Below are 24,334 nucleotides of genomic sequence, written 5' to 3' on the forward strand. Positions count from 1 at the left end.
CTTCTGTGTGTATATAGAGAGAGAGAGAGTGAAATTATACAGGTACTACAAATATTTCTTAAAACTAAGCTAATTACTTATTTCCCCCTAACCAGGTATGCCATCATCAAATAGCAGCTATTTAGAAAGTAACCTGTTCAACTATTTTCTTGCTGGTATTCTAAGTATTTGTGCATATGTTTGCACGGGTGTGTGTCTTTCTGTGTGTGTGGATGCATTCATACATGTGTGGATTTGGGGAACAAACAGCCTGATCAATAATCATAAAGAGAAAAGAAAGTTTACAGTGGAAGTTTTGGGGAGAGGATCACATGTATTGAGTATGACTTTAACGCTGTGGGTAGGAAGTATTTACCAGTCTTTGTGGGGATACTGCCTTGATATGGCTGAACAGTGACTACTCTGAATACTCAGGAGACATGTGCTCTTACACAAAAACCTGTTGCCCACTCCTAATTCCATCTAAGAAGGGCTACTGATTTTTGTTATTTCGAGGTATATGCATAAAACTGATCATATGCTAACAACTGAAATGTCAACGCCAGGCATTACTTTGTTGAGATTGCTCACCCATTTACATTTTCCTGGTGCACGGTTCCGTCTGACACTTTAGACCTGCATGAATGTCATGATTTAGAATTCCTTTACTTTAGTGAGGAGCTTTGGTGGTAAACTCTGTTTTTGTTGAACTAAAAAAGATTTTTATCTTGCCCTCCTTTTTGAACCAAAATTTTCCTGGGTGTACATGTTCGAGACATTAGTTATTTTTGGAGGCACTTTGTCTCCTGGTTCCCAGGGACCCTTTAAAATGCCGATTGTTGGTCTGACAGTGGTCTTCTTATCAGCTACTTGTAAGACTTGACTCTTTATTGTTTTGCAGTTTTAGGATGTCTCTGGGTGTGAATTTCTTTTTTTATTTCCTTTTGTTGAGATTGGTGAGCCTCCTAAGTAGGAAGATTGGTGGATTTATCTTACTTAGTCTTCAAAATTCTTATCTATCTTTAATTTTTTCCTTCTGCCAATTATTCTCTCCTCTCTCTTGCAACATTCATTTGCTTATGGAAGAGCCTCATCTGTCTACTTTCCATGCCTCTGGATCTCTTTTTCATATTCTTCATCTCCGTCCCTGCTTTTTAATGCTTATGGCTCTTATCACCTTCCTTAATAATATCTACAATTCTCAGGTCATTTCGTATCAATTATCAACACTCTGTACCTCAAACTGTACTTCAGGTTGAATAATGAATTTGTGCTTTACCTCTAAGCCAAATGAATTGGTCTGGTTTAGACTGGTCCCTTTTTCTCAATCTCTGTGATTTCTAATAGTCCAGGGGCATTTTCAAACTCTATTTCTTGTCATCACTTTAAATTATTATATTTCTGAAAACTCAAATCCCAAATTTTCATTCTTGTAGCTTTGTATTGCTCTAAACTCAGATTCCCTCACTCCCGCTCCACTATTCTTTAACCTCATTGAAGCCTTCTTACCCTTGACCCACTCATCACTTCTTACCAGTGTTATTAAAATAATCCCACTGCCTTGAATCATTTCCCAATTCAAGTTCCTCTGCCTTAACACCACGAAAATGGTATTTCTATAACAAAAGTTGATTATGCCCTTCCCCTACTCAGATTGTTTGTTCAGTAGGTCCCCAGTCAAGGAAGGTAGTGACCTGAAATGTGACCGCTTCTCCAGATCATTATTCCACCTGCTCCATAAAGCTCCATGTTAGTGGAAACAAAACTACTTCTAGTTACCCATGTGCACCATTATTTCTCCTCTTCTCTGTGCATTTTCTTGTTAAGTATTTTATTTGGAATACCCCCCTCAACTAGCCAGCACTGACACACTGACACACAGACACACACACACACACACACACACACACACGCACTCAAACTTGTCTTCCTAATGCAGCCTCTTCATTGTTTAAGAATCCACTGAAGTGTCACGTTCCCCTGGGAAGCCACCCACCAGGGTGAATCAGGAACCATTTCTTTGCTCCATACCATTCATTTATACTTCTTGCTTATAATTTGCATGTAATCTATTGCATTTATCTTTTTTTCCCACTAGATTGCTGCCTTATCAGTGGAGTGTCTTCTATCTTTGTCTTTGGTCTCAAGTAGCATGTCTTCCACATTTTTGTCATTTAAAAAGTTTAGATCTAAAATCATCCTTGTAATCCCTCAAACTAACATTTACTTATTTCTAGAGACCTATTCTCCCTCCTTCCCCTATAGCATTTATTTGGCATCTTTTTTTTTTTGAAACATACAGTAGTCTAACTTGTATTATAGTAGAATTGCCTATCTCTCGTATTAAATAATAAGAACCTCCATGGCAGTGAATGTGTTTTTTTTCTTTTTATATGGTGCTTAGAGTGGTGCTTTCTAAATATATAAAATATAAAATCAATAATATATACTTTTAAATTTATAAATGACATGGATTTGGCCGCCACTGAATTCTAAGTAATATATTCTTCTCTAAACATTTGGCTATAAACCAATTACAGGTGGTCCCTCACTTTTAAAAAAGTATAAATTGCCAAACATTTTCTTTTTTTTTTTTGAGATGTAGTCTCGCTCTGTTGCCCAGGCTGGAGTGCAGTGGTGCAATCTCAGCCACCACACCCAGCTAATTTTTTGTATTTTTAGTAGAGACGGGGTTTCACCATGTTAGCCAGGATGGTCTCCATCTCCTGACCTTGTGATCCGCCTGCCTTGGCCTCCCAAAGTGCTGGGATTACAGGCATGAGCCACCGCACCTGGCCAAATATTTTCAGTAAAGTAGAAGAAATTCTGAGTCTAATGAAGGCTTGAAGTAATATCTGCCTTTCAAATTAAGATGATTTTGATAACACAAACCATAGTCTCTTCACGTGATTTATAAAAATCTTAGGTTGGGTGTGGTGGCTCACACTTATAATCCCAGCACTTTGGGAGGTCGAGGTGGACGGATCACGAGGTCAAGAGATCAAGACCATCCTGGCCAAGATGGTGAAACCCCGTCTCTACCAAAAATACAAAAATTAGCTGGGCATGGTGTGACCCTGTAATCCCAGCCACTCGGGAGGCTGAGGCAGGAGAATTGCTTGAACCTGGGGGCAGAGGTTGCAGTAAGCCGAGATTGCACCACTGCACTCCAGCCAGGTGACAGGGCAAGACTCTGTCTCAAAAACACACACACACACACACACACACACACACACACACACACACACACACAACAAAGAAACAAAAAAACAAACAAAACAAATAAACAAAAAACTTACTGTTCATATGAATGGTTTAATTTCCTAATTATTTTCTACTTGTAGACACAGACTTGGCCATGATCTGAGAAAATTATCAAATCTACAGTTAAAAAGCATGATTTTTAGGGCACAGATTATCTTTAGGCCATTGAAAAATACTCTGTGAGATACACTATAATGATGAATCCATGTCATTATACCTTTGTCTAAACCCATGGAATGTACACCACCAAGAGTAAGCCCTAATGTAAACTATGGACCCTGGATGATGATGATGTGTTGATGTAGGTTCATCCACTGTAACAAATGGACCACTCTGATGAGGGATACTGACTCTAGGGGAGGCTGTGCCTTGCTGAGAGATGTGGTGTGTAGGAAATCTCTGTACCTTCTGCTCAACTGCACTGTAAACCTAGAGTTTATCTAAAAATTTGTCTAAAAAAAAAGTAAGGTTGCAAATATCAAAGGATTACTTTCTTCATTGCATAATTTTATTTGGGAAAAAATCCGTAAGTTGAACTCAGAGTTAATAAAAAACTATCTCTAGTCATTTTATCAGGAGCGGGATTGGAGCACCTCTCAAACAAGACGTTTTCAGTGCTATGAGCTTCTAAATTCTAGGAACTTTCAAAAAACATTCGCATTCCTCATCAGAGGAAATTTCTTGAGCAACTTTGTGTGGATTTGGGTTTCAGGATTTCTCACCAACTTCCAGCCACCCCACACTTGCCTTCCTCTGAATCTTACTAGCATTAAATGAAAACCTTTTCATCACTAGAAATGGGTGCTGGCAAATACATTAAACTAGGCTGCATCATATACTTCCAATTTAATCTATAAAGCATATGCCTTATTGTTAGCTTGGGAAAGCACTTACATAGCTTGCTTTTACTTTCATATCTTGCTGTTTATGACATATTCAAGGATGTAGAGAAGACGTTATCACAGAATGTCCAACAACCAAACTGGAGTCACGTCTTTTGCGAGCGGCCAACTGAACTAGTAGCACAGGTAACTAAATATGAAAGGCCTAACAGAGAAGCTTCCTAACAAATAAAAGCACTCGGCATAATACCTTAACCAAGACATGCCACATAACCTGAGGATTAATTTAATTAGCATTACATAATGTTCTGTGAAAACTGAATTACCTCCCATCTCACAGTTTGAGATAACATCCTGTCATCCATCATCACTGGGAAAATCATGGGTTCTCCAGCCCAATTCACATTGAGGCAATTATGCCTAGCTAATAAGAAATGTCAAGGAATAAATATATTCTACAACACTAATTTTATACATATTTTAAGCCTGATACTTAACACCTGCTATAGCTCTACTCAGAAGAAGAAAAAAGATGATAAATAATAAATAAATCTACATAAATTTCTTATTTTTTTCAACTCTTAAACCCAATCCTGTAAATTTATTTCTATGGCTAAAATCTTTTAAAAAATTGTATGAGGATGTTATTAACACTTACTTCTGCTCCAAGAAAGACTAAATTTATGAAATCTTCCTAGATTAAAAGAAGTCAGGGTTGGAGGAGGACAGCAGAAAAAGCTCTATTTTCCCATTAAAATCAAATCCTTCCTCTTGCCATTTTTGGACATGGAAGTTTTCTGACATATGCTGTTCTCTCCTCTCCCACTTTGGCAACCACTCTTCTCCTTCCCTTGGTGTCCCCTGGCCTGGACATCACAGCCTGGCTGGGTGGCCATGATTGTGCTAGAGGTCCCGGGGTCACAGGGTGCTCCAGAAAGCATCCACATGGAGTCCTGGACCCTGGATTCAACTGCGTGGTGGTAGAACTCATTGTTTCCAGGACATGTTGCTAAGACAGAATAGAGCAGCCAATAAAGTATATCATCTACCAGCTTCCACATTTTATTTAGCAGACTTTTAAAAGTATTGAAAGCATGAACAGTGTTGCCTGTTAATGCTTTCTGTTAATAGGGAAAATTAACCCTGATAACTAGCAGATACACAAATACCTGGGAAAAGCATGGGAATCATTTTTTCTTTAAAATTGGAGTTGTATTGTTTTTAGCCATTTTGATATTCCCTGCTGGTATGTTTCATGCAGTTCTCAAGAACCACATCCATTAAAAATAACTTGAAAACAGAATTATTGTCACATAATTCACCTATTATGTATTATAATTTTAAAGATTCAAAAAACAAAAAATGTTAGCAAATTAACAGTAAAGAAATTTTTAAAAGGGAACTGTATTTATCTACATTTTCTAATGAAGAGATAATGATACCATTATTAGTTGTAAAAAGACACTCTCGTTTTACAGAGGCTCAATGAACATGTTTACAATTGAAAGACTATTAGCTCAACTAAAGACTATGCTTTTTTGGCTAAGTATGTTTTAGAGATTTTAGAAACAAAATTAACTTACATAAATCATTAAATATTAATTTAGAATTTTAACTTGATTTTTAACTTTGATATTTATATATTATTTAATGTGTCTACTATCTCAACTTAAATGACTTAATTCATCTAAATTAACAAAACATATAACCCCCTCCTCACTTGTTGTGATACTACATATTTGGTTGAGTAATTTCTTTTCATTGAAAAATTGATTATGTTGGTACTATATAACTATCATATGTCTTACAGTAACAAGACTTTGCAAATGAAATGTACTAAGATATTTCATTCTTGAAGAATGTTCAACTGTGTTTGAAGGTGGAGATAAATTCCAGTGACTCTTTTCATAACAGCACATAAAATTCATTCATCAGTTCCTTAGGGGACAAATGTTTCCTTTTTGTGTCCAAGGGTAATAGACCTGAATAGAAAACTAATGAAATAGAAATTGCTTTGTCCTACAGCCAAAAAAGACCTTTAGAAGGTATGTAGCGGATTTATCACCAGTGCTGGAAAAACACACAGTTAAGGCCTCTTCAGCATTTGAGTCTTCGGTTAAAGGTTAAAAAGACCTTTAAAGATCTTCAAAGCAGAAAACCCTGCAGAAGCCTGTCAAGATAATCGTATTTTCATGTGTTTTGTTTTGTTGTCATTGTTGTTTTTCGTGTGTGGATTTTAATATCTCATACCACAGTTAAACCATAATTACTCATGCTAAATTCTCCATATCACCAGCTCAAGAAATATAATCTGTTTCAGAACTTAGAAAACAATACAAAGTATCATACAAACTGATCTTGACAATGTCATCACCTCATTACCAAGTTTCGTAGTGAATTCTCAGTTATCTTACTAGAGCTATTGGCATGATTTTCACAATTGATCCCTTCTTATTTCATGCACTTTCTTCATTTGGCCTCCTGGATACCACAGTGTCCTTTCCTTTCTCCCACCACTTCAGGTACTTTTGCTCATTCTCTGTTACTTATTCTCCTCAACTCCTTAACTTCTAACCTCTTCTCTCTCTTCACTCCCTCCTTTGTGACTGCACCCACTACCATAGCTTCAGACATCATCTGTGTGCTGATGACTCCCAAATGTATACCTCTAGCTCAGAAATCTCCACCATAGTCCAAGCCCATATGTGTACCTTTGGCTTGGCACCTCTGGTTAATATTTAATAGACATCTCAGAAAACCACCTGACATTTTCTCCATCAAACCTGCCTCCCACTCTCCCATTCCCAAAGTCGTCTTCATTTCAATTAGTGAGGACTCCATTCTTCCAGTTTGCAGGACAAACCTAATGAATAGCCTCTACACTTCTTTCTTTCACATATACAAAATCTGTCCACTTATCTACTGTGTTGGTTCTACCTTCCGGTGAGACTTACAACCCAATGGCTTCTCATCACCTTCCATCACTTTGTACAAGCCCCTCTCCAGCCTCACCTGGATCATCACATTAGCTCCTAACTGATCTCTACTGACACTCTTGCTACGCTTTCCTCAGTCTATTTTCAACACAGTGTCAAGTAAGACAGGTCGTGTCCCTCTTCTAAGCATAACCCTCCATTGTTTCCTATTTAATGCAAAGGAAAAGCCAACACCTATGGTGACGCCCTCTAAGGCCTTATCTGATCTGCCTTCCTCACCGCCACTCCCCAACTTCAGTCTATGAACCTCTGTCCCATCATTCAGAGAAAATGACTTCTCTCCTATTCTACTCATCTCCAAGTTTCCCTGGTTTTTCATACTTTTACACAAATACAAACACAAGGAAATGTTTCTCTTCAATGCATTCTGTGGAGTTTTAATACCCACATAGCTTGTTTTTCTTTTTCTACATTGTATTCTTTTAATCCAGTGAGATACTATACATTCATCCTTTTTTAATTTGACCCAAGCACGTTTTTCTGTAAGTACTACTGCAGTTTTCCCAGGGTACCTTGAATTTGGTGTGTCTCTGCCCAGGGGTTTTTGTCCTCTTCTTCACATCCTACTCCAGCTCTTTGGTTTCAACTGTTGATCATACAAACCACTCAGAACAACACGTAATAATGATGGGAAAGTGAAACAAAAAAAAAATGTCAAAATTTCCAACAGACAATATGGTACTTAAAAGCAAACATATAATGGTTACTATAAGAGGATAAAAAAATTAGCTTTGAACTCCCTAATATCATTGTAAGGGAAACATTTGACTAGTTAGGTCATTCCAATTTTCTTACTGTAGAAGAAATGTCTGTACTCAAGATTAATTTTTTTCTTCTATTTAGCACTGATATTCTGTAGAAGCCACATCTATACTCAAGGTTTATTTTTTCCTTATACTTAGCACTGATACTCTACATGTAATATTTAAAGGGAGCTTTAACAAGCAGCCAATGAGATTTATCATTGTGTTTGTTTCAGGAGTGTTGAGAATGTCTCTAAAGGCATTAGACAATAGACAACAGAAGACTTACATTGTCAGTATCATGATAGTTCTTACTCTTAGGCAATAGTTTTGTTTTTGTTTTTTACAATACAGGCACTGTAAGTATTGTACCTAACCAGTTTCCATATTAGCTTTTGCTACAATGAAGCTTAAAGACAAATTTGTCAGTCCTGTCTAATAAATATATAGTATTTCATGGCATGGTAATTCTACAGAAAATATATTTCCCCCTCTCCATTTCTGCTCTCAATTCTGAGTAAACTATAATTGGATGCTTTACTATGAAATATGTTGTTCTTTTATATTATTTTTCATATTTTATCTCATCTTGACATGTTTGTGTCTTGTAAGTTGTCTTAAATGCTTTCAAAAATATTGGAAATAAAAGAAAAATATACAAAGGGACACCGAATAATATGAGGGGACTTCAAAAAGTTTATGAAAAATAAAATTAAAAGATAAAAATGAAAAAGATAAACTTTATTTTTCAACATGAGCTCCATCAAGGTCAAGACACCTTTGTAAGTGATGATGCCAGCCATTTAGTCCATATCTAAAGAACAGAGGGTCCTGGGAATTTAACCATATCAATGCAGTCTTTGGCACATTATTAACTGAATAAAACTTGATGTTCTTTAAAGATTTTTTTAAAATTAGGAAACAGAAAGAAGTCACAAAATGCCAAATTAGATCTGTAAAGTAGATGTCTAATAATCTCCCATGAAAACTCTTGCAAAATTGCCCTTGTTGGATGAGAGGAATGAGTAAGAGCATTGTCATAGTGAAGAAGGACTCTGTGGTGAAGTTTTTCTGGGCATTTTTCTGCTAAAGCTTTGGCTAACCTTCTCAAAACACTCTCATAATAACCGGATGTTATTGTTCATTGACCCTCTAGAAAGTCATCAGGCAAAATGTCTTGAGCATGCCAAAAAACTGTTGCCATGATCTTTGTTCTTATTGGTGGTCCACTTTTGCTTTGACTGAAACATTGCCACCTCTCGGTAGCCATTGCTTTGATTGTGCATTGTCTTCAGGATCATACTGGTAAAGCCATGTTTCATCTCCTGTGACAATGCTTCAAAGAAATATTTGGGGATCTTTATTACACTTGTTTAACATTTCCCTTCAAAGTTCTCTTTTTGTCTGCAGCTAATATAGGTGCCACCGTTTTGGCACCCACGGGGTGGAAAGTTTGCTCAACTTTAATTTTTCAGCCAGAACTGTGTAAGCTGAACCTATTGAGATGGCTATGGCCTTGACTATTGTTTTGACTGTTAATTGTGGTCCTCTTCAATTAGGACAAACGAGATTAATTTTATCTTCACAAATTGATGTGGATGGCCTGCCACTGCAGGCTCATCTTCCACATCATCTCATTCCTTCTTAAAATGAGTTATCCATTGTTAAACTGCTGATTTATTTGAAGCATTGCCCCCATAATTTTTTTGTAAAGTATCAATAATTTCACGTTTTGATCCAAGATTCGCCATAAATTTGGTATTAGTTCGTGCTTCAATTTCAGCAGATTCATGTGGTTCTTTTCAAACTGATGTCTTATCATTCTCAGTGCCTCAGACTAGATCCTGTTCAGGTATGTTAGAGCAAGTTAATATGAGTTTCTTTTAGTGAAAAACAATTTTGAACCATGCATAGCTTTTTACATAATATGCATTTTCCACGAACTTTTTGAAGACCCCTCATAGAAACAATTACACTATTTCAAATAATTATACTCGTGCATTTTTTAGATTTTTATAGTTTCATCTTGATCCCAATTCTCCTTCCACCTAATTTAATTGCTCAATAAATGCACCCTCAATTAATAAACAGATACCCAACAATTTAATTGTATTTAACCTTGTATGTAATTACCATAAACGACATTTTAAAGTTGGAGAGTCAATATAAATTTTATGAGAACCCCAATACCCATAAACACACTAAAAATTAAATGCTGATATGTCCTGAAAATATTTATATCCTTCAAGTCACCAAATCCTCCTATAAGAGGAGATCCTATCAACACCACCCCCACTAAAAAGTTTTACTTCATATAATTTTAAAATACAAGTCAAAAGGAAAAGAGGCCCCCAAATCAATGTTCTTTTGGTTATTTAAAATTTAAAAAGCTGAATATTTGATTTTCATTTATTTATGTCACTAAATGGTTTAGGCCTCATTTTCCTCACTAATTATGTGAGCATTCAAACTAAATGATTTCTAAGGTTCTTAAAGCATATCTGAAGGTAGAGAAGTAGTATGAAGGAAAGTGCAGTGTTAATATTCTTGGTCCAACAGATATGTTTTCCGAGTTTAAAGTCACATTTTAAATTCAATTCTTCTAATTTGCTTCTAGAAAAAAACGAATGCCATCCATTATAAACAAAGTTAATTTGTGTAACTTCTACAGAGATCAGAAATTAAATCCCTACAAAACATTTGGGCTGCTATAATAGTTTCACAGCAAAAGAGGCACCTAATGAAACCACTATACAATCATAGAAGAGCATTCAAATTTTTGAAAAATCTTCTCTCCATATAATGGAAAATATTTTCTTATTTCTTAAAATGGCAAAAAGTACACGAACCACTTTCTTGTTATATATTTATCTCTACATATATCTGCATACCCAATTTAATTAACATATTTACAATGGAAAAATATGTGTCCATGTGGAAATTTATATCAATTATTTTTTAAGTAGAAATGATGTGTCCCAAACTTCACTGAAAACTTATATATTGGTAGTTCAAGTAGTTTCCAGTCTATTTTGAAATAAGCCCTTTCAAAAGTCACTGGACTATGGTAAGGCATATATCACCTAACAATCCACCAAATAAAATAAAAACAAATATTCCATTTTTGCCTACCCAAAGAATAAACATGCAGGGTTTAAAGATGGGAAAATAGTATGTAATTCTCTGTTCTGAACTTTCCATCTCAACTACTAACTCACTTCTGAGGTTTGGAAAGTCCCTGATCCTTTCTTTCCTTCCGTATCTTGATGAGGCCCCAAACTCAGGTAGTTTTGCTCCTGTTGTCCTGCTTGTGGGTGAGTACAGGGATCCGAAGAGCTGGTGGTGCCTCTTATCTTCCTATCCTGAGAGTCACTCAGCTTCAACTTCTCTAGGGAACCCACTACTGAGAAACATTTTGCAAGCAGAAGCTAGTTGGTTCTTCTGTTTGTCTGATACCTAGATAAGTAAATCTTCCTTTGTTTGTTTCAATATTTGCAATATTCATGATGAATAATTATATTTCTTAGGGGTTTCTGAGTTAATGATGGCATTCTCTCTTCCATACCCTAGAACTTACACAACAGCATACACTAAACTCAGGAGCAACTCTGTCCTATGATATCTGAGATGTGCTCATGTAGAGTCCAGGCCTCTCTGCCCTATGAGACTCCATCCATGAAATACTCTATTATAAATCTAATAGCTTTTCATTTATAATTTAGTTATGGTTCATAACCTGCCTCAGAGAAACAGCATGAAATTTAATGAGATCAGACCTAGGGGACGCTGTGAGCTTCATAGAAGACAGACAGCCCATAAATATTGTACCAAGTATTAGAATGATCTCCTAAGTTTTCAACACATCTTAAAAAAAAGATACCTTCGAAATCAGAAATCAGTAAACCGTCCTCAAAAATTCTTGCTTTTAGACTTTGCTATTAATACTTATACACTTTTGCAAAACTTAATTACATAATACTGATATTAAGCTTTTTGTACATTCTTACTTATATTTATTTATATAATCAACATTTTGCTGATAATCTACATGCTGAACATTACCCTAGGCCTAATACACAGAAGAAAGGAAGAAAGGAAGGAAACTGATGTGATTCTAGTTTTCAGGAGAGACTCAATATAATTGAGAAATGCTAGCCATAGCTTTATTTAGATATAATTTTTGCATATGAAAACACTTTATCCAGTTATAACCAGTAATCAGAATTTACTCTTAATAGTCATTGCTTATGATTGTGCAGAATTGCAGCACACGCTTGAAAACTAGAAAATGTGAAACTCAGAATGCTACTGTAAAACTGCTAAGTTCCATCTTTCATCCAAATAAAAAAACGGGAACACGTGATTGTAAGCTCATGCCATTAACAGAGCAAACCAATTCAATACAACATAAATGAGTCATAGGGACCTGCTAAAAATATTGGATTCTCTGAAGAAGCACGGAGCCACTGGGAGAACAATCAAACATCTGTTATTTACAACAGGTTCACAAGCAGAGCTTGTGTGAGCTCATCACAAAGGTTCACCAACACAACCACATTTTTCAGAGATGAACCGCATGAGAGCATATTTTTCTTCCTTATTTCAATAGTGTTTTCTGTTGATGTTCATGTGCTCATTGTAGTAACTAAAAAATAAGCAAGCAGTCCCTTGGCTCTTTTCTGAAGAAAAGCTAAGTGCGAGGGCTTTGGAAGACACTGCAAGCCAGAACAAATGCAACTGCCTAGAGTCCTATTTCAGCATCCACCCTCCCACTTTCCAGCCCTGCACTGTTTTATTATTCTCTCTGGGTCACGGAATTATATGGATAATGATGCTGCAAATCCTCCCTTATGAAAGCTCGACTCAACCGAAATGATGTTTGGAATTATTTGGCTTCACTCTATAATTTTTAATGATTCACAGAAAATGCCAAATAGTCACTCTTAAACACCTTCAGAAAATGCATCCTTTCTACTTCACCATCTACTGTTGCAGTGATATGTTTATGCTTTTAGTTCAGAGTCACATTAAAATTACTGAAAAGGTTAGTAAGATTGTCTCCAGAGAATTTGCTGGTGTGCGTAAAGGTGAATTCATTATACAGAAGAATGTACTAAAACAGGCATCAATTAGGTGAATTTAAATGTGGTCTTATTGACGAGTAAAATAGTCCTACCGGTAAAACTGTTCTTTTATATACACTACGTATACAAACATGACACACAAGTACACACACACACAGGCACACACATACAAGAACTTAGGAAGGGTCGTAGTATCTCACTGATCTTATTTTCAAGAAAAGGGAACATAAGGGACTTAAGTGAGACCTCTCAGAAAGATGGGCTAGAGTTCAGTCCCCCTTTCTTATGGAAATCAGTGATAAGACTATCTTTTCTCGAGGCTATAATAGTAAATGAACTAAAGTATGTAAATGTCCAACATCTCTCCTGAGACATGGAAGGTGTTACATCCACAGAGGCCAGACATAGCCTGGTTGTTTTGTTTTGAGACTCTTTACTATCATTGTAATATCCCATGGGCCACGTATAATTTCTTACCAGCTCTTCTAGATTACAGGGCCCAGATCTGTTCAATATTCTTCACAACCACTGATGGTATTCCTTGTTACGGTCTGAGGAGCATTTATGGCACAGTGCTGCTCATATTGAGATTACAGCCTAAAAACCCTAAGACGTTTTCTGAAAATTATTGTTAAGCAAGGTCTCCTATACTTGCTTAAGAGTAATACCCAGTGCTGGTAGAGTTAAAATTTGGAAGTGAGATTTTCAACTACACAGCCAGTCAAGACATTTTTGGGTCTTGAGATTCCATTGTCTAGCCTCTTCTCCATCCTTTCGAGTTCTCTTATGGACAATACACCTAGGATCATTTCCCAGCTCTGTTGATTTTTAATTCTGTCACTTTGAATCAGTCATTGAATCTCTCAGATGTGCAACTTCCTTATCAATCGAAAATGTTGTATGTTCAACTCAAATTTTAATGGAGTAGAACAAAAGTAAATAAAATTTTCACTCACATTTTATAAAATTATTATTTAAAACAATGAATAATAAGTACTTAAAATAGTGAAGAAAATTTGAGGAACATGGAAGTGGTACTTTCTTAAGATAATAATATATCTTGTGAACTCATAATTAAAATATTGGCACCAGTAAATAAATGGGCAGAAAGATCCATGATAAAGAATACAGATGATAAAAACAGAAAGAATTACACAGGGGAGTTTTTCATATAACAAAAATATATTTAAAAGCAGAAGGAAAGATGGATTATTCAAAGTTGGGGCTGGGACAACTGGATAATCATTTAAGAATGAAAAAGAGTCAGATCTATAGCTCATAAGCATAGTCTCTTACACTGCATTAAATTAGTAATGTAAAAATGATTGGAAGAAAATCAATGTACATAGTTTTATATAAGCTGCATGGGAAAGGCCTTTGGAATCTAATATCAAAGGTAGAAACAACTACACAAAAGACTGATGAACGTTACATAAAGTTAAAACTTTTATATAAAAACATACTTTAAAAGTTAAAAAGTAAATATTTGCCACATATAGGTGAACAAAAGACTTTATTTTGGAGAATAAATTAAATATGGTAATATACAAGACCAGAAAACCCACAAAAATAAAACAACCAATGACAAATAATTACATGAAAAATGTGCACACACAGTACAGTAGTGAAGCAGGACAGGTTAGGTTGATGCAACATTTCTTGTTCAGAAGACTGTCCTATGCCTGGAAGAATATATATTAAAATGTGAGTAGCTTCCTGTTGATAGCAAAGGTGTTTTTTACTGTAATTTCTAAGCTTTTATTTTCCAAGAGACATAATGGTTTTCACAATAAAAACAAAAGAAATCCTACTTCTATTACAGGGGTAAAATTGCCTTGAAAAAAAAAATCTACCTCATTGGTTCGTAAGAATGAAAATCAGAAAAGGCTGTGAAAGCCCTAACATGTTCGGAGAACGTGAGCTCTCTGTTTTCCTGGACACTCCGGGGTCCGCATGAGCAGGTATTCATCAATTAACACTCTGTTGAGTCCACCAACCAGCTATGAAGCATCTTTAAGCCTATTATCCAATCCACTTCTCTCCAATCCTTCCATAAAGGTGTCATGAGACTTTCTCAAATAGCTTGCCATAATAGAGGAAGATTGACTATTATAGCTATTACACTTTCAATCTAATAATATCTCACACATATTCGTCAAGGCGTTTACCTTTGAGAAACTGATGCAACATGTATTGTCTTAGAATGCTGCGGTTCAGGTCTTATCCACAGAGTCTAGCATAGGGTAGCACATAGGGGAGGTGCTCCCTGTAGACACGGTGGTGAAAACACAGTCCTAATATCAACTATAGTCAGGCCTGCCTCATCCTCAGCACCACTGTGTAGAAAGAAAACTGATATCAGAGAAGATACTGGGCGAGAAGAGAGTCAAGGCTGCCCAGCTGGGAAACTTGGTTATAGCTAACATAACCCTTAGCAGAACAGGCAATTATTGCCTTTTTAAAATCTGTGATTCTTTCACATTATTCTTTTTCTCATTATTTCAACAATTTCTTCTCTTTACTATAATCATCACCAGTATTAGCAAACAGCAATTCTGTCAATACTTTGACTCCTTCACAAACTCCCTACTTAAACTCCAGTGACCTAAGGTGATTTTAAATTATCTGAGGTAAAAAATTTTCCAAGGTCACTAGTGACCTGCGAACTGTGGACTTTGTTGTCCCCAACACGATGCTCATCAATGTTTGACATCAGTTACTACCTCATCTTCGCCTTTTTCTCCCCGCGCCCCCACCGCCCAATACTTCCCTTTTCTTTCATTGGTTCTCCCTTTGTTCCTTCACATGGAGATGTATTTATTCCCCCAAATCTAGATGCTCACTTCTAACTCAAGAGTGTCAACAGCAAATGCACACCCATATCGAACAACAAAGGTACCTATAGCAACTACACCAAAAACACCTTTTCTGTTTCCTCTCCTTTCTGTATGGGTGCGGCTGCATGTTTGGGCTTTGATCTTGTGTTCTAAAGACTTTCCAATAGCTTATTACTATGACTCCTTTTCCTTCCCCTTCTCTTTCCTCCTGTCTTCTCCTCTGCTGTTAAAGGATTAATTTAATGAGATTTAGTTCTCAGGGGAAATGCTTTAATGAAATTAGTAGAGGAAAATAAACAACCACAAAATAGCCTGATGCACCATACCCCTCTTATAGCCAGGGATTGGAGCTTGTCCCAGGGAGGCAATGCAGTTGCTGTCTTCTGGAAGGTAGAGGGGCTGTTGTGTTTACCACAGGAGAATTTTAGTGATTGTGCTCAACTTGACGATATGGTGCTATTCCTATTCTCTCAGGATCAAGCTATGAAAAAGAATCCATGAGCTCAGATCATAGCGTTTTCCAACTAAAATAAATAAATAAAAATAATCAGGGATGGGAAGAGCTTTGTTAAAGGATGCGCAACTGCAGCTAGATACAAGGAATTGGTTCTATGTTCTACAGCACTGTAGGGTGACTATAGCTAGCAATAATATCTAGTTTCAAACAGCTAGAAGAATAGTGAATGTTCTTGACATGAAGAAATGATACATGTGAGATGATGGAGATGTTAATTGCTCTGATGTGATCACTATACATTGCATGTATCAAAACATCACTAGGTACTCCATAAATATTTATAATTACTATGTGTCAAAAATTAAAAAAATAATAGTAATAATGAAGAAGAAAATGAGGTGAGGGTCACAGAAGACGTCATTCAGTTGTACTTGTTGGATCTGGTCCACTTGAAGAAGCAGAAGGCACAGATGACTTAAGTGTTCTCCCCACACCAAGGGCCGGCTCCACATGAGCTGGGCAGCAGCTATTAAGTGTTCTCCAAAACACATTTACAGTTCTCTTTATTACTGGCCCAAAGACAAGAGCAACACCAAACCATCACTTAATTTTCACTTCAAGTTCCAGCATAGATTTTAATATCTAATCTGATTTCCTGGCTTTGCCTGCTCCTTAGCCCTAGTGTGATCAATGGAAAGGTTAAAAAAAAAAAAAAGTCTAAACAAAATCCCTGCCTCCATGTTCTCTGCTAGCCTACTGTCCTGCATTGCAGTCCAGATATAACCCACAAACAAAATAGGGTGCACACATAACTTTTCCAAAATCTGCATTATAGTAAATTCTATTATCCAAAACACAAGCATGCTATCAAGCATCTTAAACAAACCAAACACTCCAGCCTCTTTTCCATTTCATCCTGAGTGCATCCTATTACTTAGCCCTCGCTGGATCACTCACAGGTCTTTGAATATGACCTGTGCTTTCATGACTATAAGGTTTTGTTCATGCTGTCTCCTCTGAACCTTATGCCCTTCTTTTCAATTGACTTCTATTGGGAGATTGGCATTTATTCATTATTTTTTCTTAAATAGCATTTATTGAGTCCATTCTACTTGCCATGCAATGTGGTAGGCCCTGTGCCTGTCCTCAAGGGGCTGAGACTCCAGACTGGGAAGAGGCTCATTAAGGAAACAATCACACATCTACAATATACACTACAATACATACACAGACTAAGGCAGAGACCTGAAGGGACAATGCAAAATTTCACTTTAAATATATGCAAGACCATAAAACACCATTTCAAAAGCATAGAAGAGGAAGGGTTTCTCAATTCAGAGACCAGGGAAAAGTCCAGGGTGGCAAAAGTGAAGGTCAAGTTGGGGAAAGTGTGTTGCCGAAATGTTTCTTTTTTGCACTCTCACTCCCTCCCCAGCGACTCAAAGGTCAGATTCTGTTGGAAGCTTGGAGTTCAATGATGTGGACTGTTCTTAGTCTCAATGAGGAGGCTAAGAAGTAGGTAGATGAGGATGTTGTGATAGGATTTGTTACAAAGTGAGGACGACACCTTGAGAGAGGCAGGTTAGAGGTCCCCTGTGGTAGTGGACTCAGCAGATAGAGGCCAAGGAATTGGGGCTGGAGAGACATTTCTATGCTTTTTTAAAGGCTCAATTCAAATATCACCTTTCATGTTAGATTTTCACTTCCCAAAGGAAACTGACATTCTGTGTACCATTTCCATAGCAACTTGCTCATCCTTCTGCTCTTACGTCCCTGGTATTTGTCCCTGGATGTTATCAGCAGGTTTGAGCTTGCCCCCCACTGGGCTATAGGCTCTGGGGCTGCAGGCTCACGTCTGGATCCCAAAATTCTCACTGTACCTGCGCATAGATGGCATCACCGCCCAGAAGATGCTTGTTGAAGAAATGCGATTAGAGTTGTTCTAGAGGCTTTTCTGCGGATGGGGGGGAAGGGAGGAAATCTTTATGTATCTGTTAAAAATGTTAAACCATCTTCATCATGTTGCATTATAACTTCTTTATCTCGTTTCTTTTTCTTGAATCGCTAGAATTTGAAAATGTATCTTCAATCATATTGAAGTCCTCAAATAAGTGTTTTTGTTTCATTAAATGATTTCTTTGATATCATGCTGGCATTAACTAGGCTGAGTCTACTGTGGTCAAAAGAAACGTGAACCTAAGGTTCTTTGCCTGGGGTTTCTATCTCCCTAGCTACTGCTGCCTGGTTCTATCACCAACGTTTTAAATACTGGTATTAGCGCATGTCAATTCTTGTCCTCGTACACTTTTGAATTACTTTGACAAGGAATACCAAGTCACTATTATAGAGCCAATCCAGATGAGGCAAGGAATGTCACTCATACATGGGGATCTAAAAAATGCATTTTCCATACCTTCTTCTTGGCTCCAATTGAAGGTATGGAGGAAGGTAAGAACTTCCCTTCTCAGAGTGAGGAGCCACTTGCTACCAGATTTCTAGAGTCTCATCGGAAACTGTCAGCCACAAGCAGAATTCCAAGGCTTGTGAAATTACAGGTCAACTGCCTCCCATGCCAATTCTTCTTCCTTCCCCAAAGGTACAAAGGTTGTCATGAACTTTCACCTGCTAAAACAAGAGCCCTAGAAAAACACTCAAGCCTGCTCTGAGGAGTCAATACTACTTATTCCTTCCTTCCCTTGAAAAGAGTATAATCAAATTAAACAAATGCACACTATGACCAAATGACCACTCCAGACCTTATAACCTTTCCAGTATATTTGCCTTAAAAATACTATTTATTCAACCAACAGAGTCATATAGACTTAGGTCCGGTGCCTAAAGATGTCAATGGGGCAGTCAGCATTCTGGGAATTCCTGTGTGAAGATTTGATCTTTGGAGAGTCTAGGTATTCAAGTGGAGGAATAGTGGGAAGAAAAATCCACAGCATGCTTCCTTTAGGCATAGGACATAGTATAAAAATATGTGGCATATTTGGCATAGGTAAAATCACCTGTCAAGGCTAGAGGAATGGGGCTAGCTTAGGAGGGCTGCCAGGCCCCATTACAGACATAGCCCTTTGTCATACAGACAAAACGTTGTTATCACAGCATTTTATGTGATATCATTAAATCATTAAATTAATTTAATTTAATTAATTTAATTAATTAAATTAAATTGTGTGTATCTTTACCTTAGAAATGCAATTCTAGCTACAATTTACAGAAAAGATGAAAGGGGAAGATATTTATCTTTGAAATATATCTGTACATGTATATACCCCACATTTGACATTTGAATGCATACATACATATTTTTTTAAAGCTGGTATAAAATAGTACTTATGTTTATTTTTGTTGTAAGCCTACAAAACTATTTGACTTTAAAAATCATATAAATCATCTCAATAAAGTCAAAGAAACGAAGGAGAATAGAATAATAAAATACCAAAAGAATTCTGAAATTCATCAGGATACAAAATATCTACCTGCTATAACACCCTACAGATTTATGGCTTTGATGAGACACTGTCTCCACTTTGGGGTCAGAATCATATATATGACCAGATAGAATAAATAGTCCTTGTTTGTTTTGTTTGTTTTTGTTTTTATGAGACAGAGTCTCGCTCCTTCGCCCAGGCTGGAGTGCAGTGGTGCAATCTTGGCTTACTGCTACCTCCGCCTCCCCAGTTCAAGTGATTCTCATGCTTCAGCCTCCTGAGTAGGTGAGACTATAGTCGCACATCACCACACTCAGCTAAGTTGTGTATTTTTAGTAGAAACAGGGTTTGTCATGTTGGCCAGGCTGGTCCCGAACTCCTTACCTCAAGTGATCTGCCTCAGCCTCCCAAAGTGCTGGGATTACAGGCATGAGCCACCGTGCCCAGCCAATAGTACTTCTGAAGCCACAGATGTGTAAATGTGTATAAACACAATTGAGAAAAACAGAAATATCAGGAGCCTTAATAAGGTTAGACAGTTTTGTAACTCTCCTCCTAAAATTCTGTCCCAGGAATAATTAGAATTGGGCATAGAATGTATAATCAATTATGCTGAGCACATTATTATTTATAATACCTAAAAATCAAAACTAAATTTAATGTTCAGAAACAGGAGAATAAAATATGTCATGGTAAATTCACATAATGGAATATCACATACATTAAAATCACTTCTTATGAGAACATGTAGAGATATAATAAACTGTCAAGTGAGAAATGAAAGACAAAAAACATAAAGTATGATCAAAATATTGCTTTAAAATTTTTTATCATCCACCTATTGTTTTTTCAATCATATTATTCTGTCAATGTATCTATAGTCTGCGATTATACTGTAAATAATTAAAATGCAGATTGTGAGATAATGAAAGCAAACACAAGCAAACAAAACAAAATAGTAGAGACCTGTAATTCAGATGGTTGAAGGAAGCTTGAGTTGAATTTTCTAGAATATACATACTTGAGTTTAGAGAGGCAGCTTCTTATTCTGAAACCTTTAAACGTCCATAGCATATTTCTGCCATGGTATATTTTGAAAAAACTTCTATATAAAGCCATGGCCCAAAATCTTTTCAGTTAATTTATTTATTTTTGGATTTCTTAATAACCAGGCCATAAACAAGTACAGAAATCTTAAAGTCTATCCCTTTTGTGTGTCAAAAGGAAAAATTATCCTGGCTAGACTATTTGCGAAGTCAGTGACCTTCTTTGAAGTATTTACTTTTAGCTTGCACTTTACAAGCTTTCTTTTTCCTTCCAATGAACTCCACAGACAGGAGGACATGGTGAACGGGAGGGATGAACTGTGTGCTCAGCGTATGGCCGGCAGGAGGTGTGTGAGGGCCACGACAGGGAGGGGAGATGGGTAGGAATCTCAAGGTTTCAGTTACACACACAAAATCTAGAATGACCTACTCATCTATATAAATGTTTACAGGGCTTCTGTTTTTGCAAAATGCCATCGTTACCCACAGACATGGTGCCTGAGAAGTGAGCAGGGGTGTCCAAAGAAACAGAGCTGTGTCCTACACCGTCCTAGGGACAAATCCGAATCTCTGTGACCTCGAGCAAGTCACCAGCTTCCCTGAACACTGCTTTCGTCTGCGGTTTTGTATTAGTTCACTTTCATACTGTTATAAAGAACTGCCCCAGACTGGGTAATTCATAAAGGAAAGAGATTTCATTGACTCACAGTTCAGTGTGGCTGGGGAGAACTCAGGAAACTCACAATCATGGTGGAAGGTGAAGGGAAACAAGGCAACGTCTTCACAACGGGGCAGGAAGGAGAAATGCTGAGTGAATAGGGAAGAGCCCCTTATAAAACCATCAGATCTCGTGAGAACTCACTATCACGAGAACAGCATAGGGGAAACCATCCCCATGATTCAGTTACCTCCACCTGGTCTCTCCCGTAACACGTGGGGATTATGGGGATAATGGGGATTACAATTCAAGATGAGATTTAAGTGGAGACACAAACCCTAACCATATCAGGGGCTTCAGGAGGCTATAGATAAAGTGTTTGGCAAATAACTGGTGGTTTGAGACGTATTTGTTCCTCTTTCCGTAAAAGGTCTTTAAGGCCCTTTAAAGGATTGTCAGCTGTACTTCTCACTCACCTTCCATTGTTCTGACTTTTCTCTCTAGGCCCATATATTTTGTGTAATCTGGGATAGCCTCAGTTTCCTATAGTTTAAATATGTTAAAATATGATAATTGCATCTAAAATTTAATGTATAATTTTTCATAACCTTGTAAATCTTCACATCAAAAAAAATTATGGCAGGAAAATATGCATTTTTTTCACAAAACATTTTCTTAAGTTTTTTTTGAAAATGTGAAAACCTTTAACTATAAACGTTCCTATGATAGGATACAAAGTGTTTTTCTCCTTATTAAGCCCTGCTAGGTACATCTAGGGCTTAGCATATAATAGTTGCTCAATAAATATTTGTCAAAGAAGCGAGTGTTAGATCCCGGGGGCTGGGTGAGGGAGGGGTAGTTACAGAGCCAGCCCTCACTGTGCAAGTGACTTTTATGCAGGAGAAAGCAGCTTAGAATCATGATAAAGATTATAAAATGTAACTCCAATTCCTCTGAGTGGACATGGGCTCTGTGCCCTGATGGAGGGCATGCACCTTCCTCAGGACCTCCTCAGCGCCCCCCACGGGGTCAGGGAGGTGTCATTGCTCAGTCCAGAATGCCCCTCATCCAGGAGGTCCTCAGCTCCCACTGTGGTGCTGCACCATGGGCAACCTGGCCTTCCCTGGTGCCTCCATTTTTACAACACCAAGCAACCTCTAGGGGGAAAAGATGGATCTTTCCATGGAAGCTCCACCCAGCACACTGCCACTCCATTCCCAGGTGTCTCCATTTAGTTACTGAAGAATTAGGTTTCTTAAAGCCTCAAAGCTCTGCACCTGGGTGTATTTGAATCCACTGACTCCATGCAGCTGTTTCTAAGAAGCAAAAACACGTTCACAGCTCTTCTTTTGCTCCCATTCTTTTAGTGATGAGACATGCTTCCCTCCCTCGACATCCCCAGGACATCTGAGTGTCCCTTCGGTGGCCATCAGAAGGGGTGGGAGACCTCCCAAGCATGGCTGCTTCAGAGTCCCTGCCTGAGTGCCCAGGTGCCCATGTGCCCAGGTGCCCAGCTGCAGGTACCCAGCTGCCCAGGTGCCCAGCAGCTGTGCCCACACAGGCTCTGCATTGCTTTCAAGAGGAGCCAATGTTGCCAAGCTCATCTCTTCCCACGATTTGCCATTTGACTTCCACAGAGAGGAACTGTTCTCTCTGTACAGATGCCAACCATGACTGTGATGACACCAGGCTAACAGGTTGCTCCTGAGGAAGCTTCGGCACCACCCAGTGGACAAGAACAAGCATTCTCTGGGTCCCTGAAAGCTGAATTATTTTTGCTCTCATGCCGGCTCTTACGTTCATACGTGTATGAGTGTGTGTGCGTGTGAGTGTGAACATGTGAGTGTGAGAACTCAAGGGTGTGAGTGCATATGAATGAGAGTGTGTGTATGAGGATGGGCATGTGTATGCACGAGTGAGGGTGTGTGAGGAGTGTGTATGTGATGGTGTGTGGTGTGTGAGAATGTGTGTGAATGAGGGTATGTGACTGTGTGTGAGGATGTATGTGTGCACGAGTGAGGGTGTATGTTTGTGAGAGTGTGAAAGTGTGCATATGAGTGTGTATGTGTAAGGATGCAAATGTAAGAATGTGTGTGTGTGTCCATGAGAAAGGGTGGGTGGTGTGAGAGTGTATGAGTGTGAATGTGCATGAGTGTAAGAGTATGTGAGTGTGCAAATGTAAGAATGTGTGTGTCCATGAGAGAGGGTGAGTGGTGTGAGTGTATGAGTGTGAATGTGCATGAGAGTGTAAGAGTATGTGAGTGTGCAAATGTAAGGGTGTGTGTGTGTCCATGAGAGAGGGTGAGTGGTGTGAGAGGGTGTATGAGAGTATGAGTATGCATGAGTGTAACAGTGTGTGTGTGTGTGTGTGTGTACACGTCATGTCAGTTAATTTTTCAGTTTTCTGCCTGTTTTTTTAAGTGCACATTTCACATTCTGCTAAAGCTGAGTGAATGAAGGCTTGTTTTCAGCAGTCACTGACAATAACGCCATTCCCTGTTGATGGTCTTTCCCCCTACTGGTGCATGACCCTATGTTACAGGGCAAAATACCCGGCCATACATGTGTGACATTCAAGAGACGAGTGGCACTAACCACGGAAATATGTCTTTGAAGCCATGTGTCTTTATCAGCAAAATAAAGAATTTGACAGAATCAGGAGCCCAAAATAGTTATTTATTTGATTGTTGGTCTGTGTATTTTAATAAAGATTGGCCACACTGACTTCAAATGAAATAAGTGGGCAAAGTCCAACACGTGAATGAGATGAAAGGGTCACTGGTCTGGTGGAGCTGGGGCTGGAGGACGGGCTGCCTGATTCACCCCCTGTCGCTCCCTAATTGCCCTGGGGTGCATCTGCCAACTCTATGGTTTCAGGGAGAAAAGTTTAAAAAAAAATCACTATTTTACATAATCCCTATGCCCAGTTAACCTCTACATTTTAAAATTCAAATACCAACCTGCAGACATCAGGGGAGGCAAGACTGTCCC

The 24,334-nt window shown here is 37.9% G+C and overlaps 1 protein-coding gene across 1 annotated transcript in view, besides 1 other annotated feature; it reads right to left on the reverse strand.

The window, feature by feature from the left end:
* The window catches only part of NALF1 (NALCN channel auxiliary factor 1), a 703,987-nt gene that overhangs the window by 493,744 nt on the left and 185,909 nt on the right, over positions 1-24,334 (reverse strand). The gene's annotated exons all lie outside the window — the stretch shown is intronic.
* Positions 6,226-6,395: an enhancer, noted in NCBI's record as "experimental_31790 CRE fragment used in MPRA reporter constructs". NCBI's record gives its function as "activates a minimal promoter by MPRAs in K562 erythroleukemia cells, with activity observed for the non-introgressed 13:108315912 variant allele {active_cell/tissue: K562}" and the evidence as "EXISTENCE:reporter gene assay evidence [ECO:0000049][PMID:34662402]".

The sequence above is a fragment of the Homo sapiens genome, chromosome 13 (assembly GCF_000001405.40).
Source record: "Homo sapiens chromosome 13, GRCh38.p14 Primary Assembly".
Classification (NCBI taxonomy): Eukaryota; Metazoa; Chordata; class Mammalia; order Primates; family Hominidae; genus Homo; species Homo sapiens.